Below are 6014 nucleotides of genomic sequence, written 5' to 3'. Positions count from 1 at the left end.
ACTCAATTATAATTGCACAGAATCAGAATATAAAGCATTGATGGTCTATGTTTCTAAGTTTAATACGGTACAGGTAATACAGTACAGATCCTTGAGTAGACTCAGATTGCAATGAGATGAATGATTAGTTATTCGTATTGATTCTTTTCATCATGTCCTGCATGTTAAAATGATTTATAATTACCAATTATTTTCTCTTGATTATTATTTTCTCTGTAAGCTTTCTTAATATTACCATCACTTTTTAAACAAGAAAGTTGGTTTATTGAGAATATAGATGTTTTAAAGTTTGACAGAAATGTAATGTTTTAGACAGCACAAGCTTTAGAAACCTTAGATCCAGGTGCCAGATTGAATATCCTTTAGAAAGTTACTTAAACTCTCTAATCTCTTTCCTTATTTATAAAAGGAGTGCCTGTTTTAACTTCGGTGAGAAAACCTGCTGTTTTAACTTCAGTGAGAAAACTTATGTCAAATATAAGTACTGCATCAGGCACTTTTTAATGCTCCAATAAAAGCCATTCTTTTTTATTTGCATTCCGTGTTTACATTTGCTTATTATGAGAGCTCTATGTAACAAAACAGGAATTGATATAGTCTCACGTGTATTAGAGTTCTCCAGAGAAAAAGAACCAATGGAATATCTATCTATCTATTATCTAACCAGAGAAAGATTTTAAGGACTTGGCTCATGTGATTGTGGGGTCAATGAGTGTGAAATGTGTAGTCTGGATGTACAGGAAGAGTTACTGTTAGAACAGTTTGAGTCTGAAATCTACAGGTGGGTCGGCAGGCTAGGAACTCAGGCAGCATTTTCATGTTGTAAACTTCAAGCAGAATTGCTGCTGCTTTGGTAACACAGGGTGACACAGGAATGAAGGTGACAAAGTGTACCTTGATTCCTTCAGAGGTGTTCCTGGGTCTTCTCAACTTTACCTCAGCTCAAACTAGATCCCCGTTAGGGGTCAGAACACTCTTCCCACAAAGGTGTACTTATTGTTGTCAGGTGAAAACATATGCCTCAGATTAGCACCCTGAACTCCACTATTATGCCAGAATGGTGGAGTTATTTCCCCCTTAGCAACTGCTGTGGCTGTCTCATATCCCAGGAAATGTTGGTTGCTGTGCAGGTGGCAGATCATCAGTTGCTTATTTCAGCCACATCTGAGATGCAGCTATTGCTTTGGAGAGGAATGTGGAAGCTATCCACTCTCTATTTCTTATACAGTGACTTAAGACATACCTCCAAAGAAGATAATTCCATTATTGCATTTTTGAAATGATAGCCGAATGGAGTGCCATATGTTAACTGTTGTGAGTATTCATCCCACATGCTCAGCGGGCTTAAGGCCATCTCTTTGGGGCTATGTATCTTTGAAAGAAAATAAATAAGTACCTGCTCTCCAAACCTCATAGAGAAATGTTCTCAGAGATTTGAGAGGATGTATTGCTGGCTATTAGCCTTTCAAATGCTCTACTCAAGAAAGGAGGTAATCTGCAGTATTATGGGTTGATTTGGTACCAGTGTATACAGTATTGTTATTTTCTTGCAGTAAGAAGAAAACAACAGGCAAGTTACTCTAGGAAACCAGAGGCCTGTGTTGCTTTTTAAAACCTTTCCAAAATTGAAATCTATAACTGCAGGTTAAGAAATAGAGTATAGACACTGGTATGTGGACATTTCTCTGCCCATATGGACTATCTCTCTGCAAAGACCTTTAAGGAAATGATGCCATTGATAATTGGGGAAGAACTTCATCTTCAAATTCATTCTTCCTGTTCTGTTGAGGACTAACAGATGGCCACACTGGAGAGTTTTATAGACTGGCTGTTGAATATGATACTCGTACCAAGGGTCCAGTGTGAGACTCACCCACAGAAGTGCAGCCAGACCTTGTTAAAGATGACAAGCTACTACGGGGACATCAAGGTCTTGTGCTTGCAGAGCCACACTGCTACGGCTTGAGACCATAAAGGCTGCTACCTACCTTCTCACTAGTCTGGAGCAGTGCAGTGATAATGGCTCCAGAGGCTGCTTGAAAAACTGCTTTTTGTGAACACTATCCGTAATACCCTTACTATGTCATATTGAAGGGGCGTAGGTCAGGCTCAGAGAGAGGTTCAAATTTAGTAGTACGGAGAATGAAATAAAAGCTTTTTTCCAACCTATATTCTGTGCACAAGTGTACTTATCCTTCGAGTTCCAGCCACGAGTTTAATTAGGCTGGATTTCTGCTTCCTTGTTTGATTTGTCTTCTTGAGAAACTCAGAGAGAAGACAGCTGCTTCAGCTGGCTTTGGGAGAAAAGTTGTCTAACTACATAGTAGGCAGATGGAAATCTGAACTCTTATTTCTGCTCCCAACTTTTCTCCTGTGGAAAACTGACCTTAAGGTAAATAGAAGATGCATGGGCTATAATGCCTGTTTATATATTTTTTAAACAATGATCATCAATATATTGACTTTGTTTAAAACTTGAAGAAAGAAAGATAACTTTTGCTTCTTGCCAAAGCTACTATCTTTGAGACTCTGGAAAACACACCTTCTTTTTCCTACTCCATCTTCTTAGTACAGTGATTTATTCTGACCTTGTCGGAATAATCAAGGAATCCAATCTTTGTCACAAGAGAAACAAATGTTATTAACTCTACCATCTAGAGAGAGACGGCTTGATACAAGAATATCAGGGCTTCGTCTCGCAAGTCAAAGCCTTTATTATTTAGTTTAATCCTTTCCTAATACACACACCTGCACACTGATACAGCTAAATCTGAACTTTAAAAGGCATACCTCATATCTTAGAGGAAAGGTTTCAATCTGGTGACCCAGGACCTCAGTTAATTTTTAAAATGCTTTTCTAGAAATGCAGCTATGTGAGGTTGGGAATTTCAAGGCCTCCATGTTATAGAACGTTGGTGAATTTTCCAAATTTTTATTGTTCCCTGTTAGCAAACAATATTTTATTAACAGTCAAGGCAGCACGTCAAAAAGCTTATCCACCATGATCAAGTGGGCTTCACTCCTGGGATGCAAGGCTGGTTCAACATATGCAAATCAATAAATGTAATCCAACATATAAACAGAATCAAAGACAAAAACCACATGATTATCTCAATAGATGCAGAAAAGGCCTTTGACAAAATTCAACAACCCTTCATGCTAAAATCTCTCAATAAATTAGGTATTGATGGGATGTATCTCAAAATAATAAGAGCTATCTATGACAAACCCACAGCCAATATCATACTGAATGGGCAAAAACTGGAAGCATTCCCTCTGAAAACTGGCACAAGACAGGGATGCCCTCTCTCACCACTCCTATTCAACATAGTGTTGGAAGTTCTGGCCAGGGCAATCAGGCAGGAGAAGGAAATAAAGGATATTCGATCAGGAAAAGAGGAAGTCAAATTGTCCCTGTTTGCACATGACATGATTGTATATCTAGAAAACCCCATTGTCTCAGCCCCAAATCTCCTCAAGCTGATAAGCAACTTCAGCAAAGTCTCAGGATACAAAATCAATGTACAAAAATCACAAGCATTCTTATACACCAATAACAGACAAACAGAGAGACAAATCATGAGTGAACTCCCATTCACAATTGCTTCAAAGAGAATAAAATACCTAGGAATCCAACTTACAAGGGATGTGAAGGACCTCTTCAAGGAGAACTACAAACCACTGCTCAATGAAATAAAAGAGGATACAAACAAATGGAAGAACATTCCATGCTCATGGGTAGGAAGAATCAATATCATGAAAATGGCCATACTGCCCAAGGTAATTTATAGATTCAATGCCATCCTCATCAAGCTACCAATGACTTTCTTCACAGAATTGGAAAAAACTACTTTAAAGTTCATATGGAACCAAAAAAGAGCCCACATCACCAAGTCAATCCTAAGCCAAAGGAACAAAGCTGGAGGCATCATGCTACCTGACTTCAAACTATACTACAAGGCTACAGTAACCAAAACAGCATGGTACTGGTACCAAAACAGAGATATAGACCAATGGAACGGAACAGAGCCCTCAGAAATAATGCCGCATATCTACAACTATCTGATCTTTGACAAACCTGAGAAAAACAAGCAATGGGGAAAGGATTCCCTATTTAATAAATGGTGCTGGGAAAACTGGCTAGCCATATGTAGAAAGCTGATACTGGATCCCTTCCTTACACCATATACAAAAATTAATTCAAGATGGATTAAAGACTTAAATGTTAGACCTAAAACCATAAAAACCCTAGAAGAAAACCTAGGCAATACCATTCAGGACATAGGCATGGGCAAGGACTTCATGTCTAAAACACCAAAAGCAATGGCAACAAAAGCCAAAATTGACAAATGGGATCTAATTAAACTAAAGAGCTTCTGCACAGCAAAAGAAACTACCATCAGAGTGAACAGGCAACCTACAGAATGGGAGAAAATCTTTGCAACCTACTCATCTGGCAAAGGGCTAATATCCAGAATCTACAATGAACTGCAACAAATTTACAAGAAAAAAACAGAAAACCCCATCAAAAAGTGGGCAAAGGACATGAACAGACACTTCTCAAAAGAAGACATTTATGCAGCCAAAAAACACATGAAAAAATGCTCATCATCACTGGCCATCAGAGAAATGCAAATCAAAACCACAATGAGATACCATCTCACACCAGTTAGAATGGTGATCATTAAAAAGTCAGGAAACAACAGGTGTTGGAGAGGATGGGGAGAAATAGGAACACTTTTACACTGTTGTTGGGACTGTAAACTTGTTCAACCATTGTGGAAGTCAGTGTGGCGATTCCTCAGGGATCTTGAACTAGATATACCATTTGACCCGGCCATTCCATTAATGGGTATATACCCAAAGGATTATAAATCATGCTGGTATAAAGACACATGCACATGTATGTTTATAGCGGCACTATTCACAATAGCAAAGACTTGGAACCGAGCCAAATGTCCAACAATGATAGACTGGATTAAGAAAAAGTGGCACATATACACCATGGAATACTATGCAGCCATAAAAAATGATGAGTTCATGTCCTTTGTAGGGACATGGATGAAACTGGATACCATCATTCTCAGCAAACTATTGCAAGGACAAAAAACCAAACACCGCATATTCTCACTCATAGGTGGGAATTGAACAATGAGAACACATGGACACAGGAAGGGGAACATCACACACCGGGGACTGTTGTGGAGTGGGGGGAGTGGGGAGGGATAGCATTAGGAGATATACGTAATGTTAAATGATGAGTTAATGGGTGCAGCACACCAACATAGCACATATATACATATGTAACAAACCTGCATGTTGTGCACATGTACCCTAAAACTTAAAGTATAATAATAATAAAATTTTTTTAAAAAAGTAAAAAAAAAAGCAGTCAAACAGTTGTCAGTGAGGTTGATAATTTTTGTCTCTTGTGTCTTGATTATCTTCTTAAAGCTCTTTCTAGATGTCTCTGTAATTATCATCTGAGTTAACATTTTAACGAATGTCTATCAGTGTCCTTTTCTCACTTTTGCTAGTTTTCCCCTTCCTTTGAAAAAGGCATTCCTTGCATTTTGTTAAGATAATTAGACAATGTAATTAGGAAGCTTTCTCCAATAGCAGCTAGACGTAACAAATGACAATTGGAACATTTGTGAAGTGACTGGTAGATATGGAAGAGGTCAAACATTGTGATTAGAACATTATACCCTGTTGTGTAAGCTCATACCTTAAAGCTCAGAGAAAAATCAAAATAATTGCACTCAGAGTGCCAGGGACAATACAGCTTTCACCATGTTGTAGATGCCAATGATGTCTAATAAATTCCATAGTCTCTGGGTGACCTGAGTGCATCGGCTGCCGTGGCCCTTGTTTACAAATTTCAATTAGTCTATTTGAGAGCTCTCAATTTCCAACAAAAAAAAACTCTATTACTTTTTGATATACAAAAAAGGGTCATGTATATAGGCCTAGATTTTTATTCACCTAAATCTTAATACTGGGCCAATAAATGA

The sequence above is a fragment of the Homo sapiens genome, chromosome 5 (genome assembly GCF_000001405.40).
Source record: "Homo sapiens chromosome 5, GRCh38.p14 Primary Assembly".
Taxonomy (NCBI): domain Eukaryota; kingdom Metazoa; phylum Chordata; class Mammalia; order Primates; family Hominidae; genus Homo; species Homo sapiens.
The sequence above is the reverse complement of the archived record's forward strand: the minus strand, read 5'-3'. Positions refer to the sequence as shown.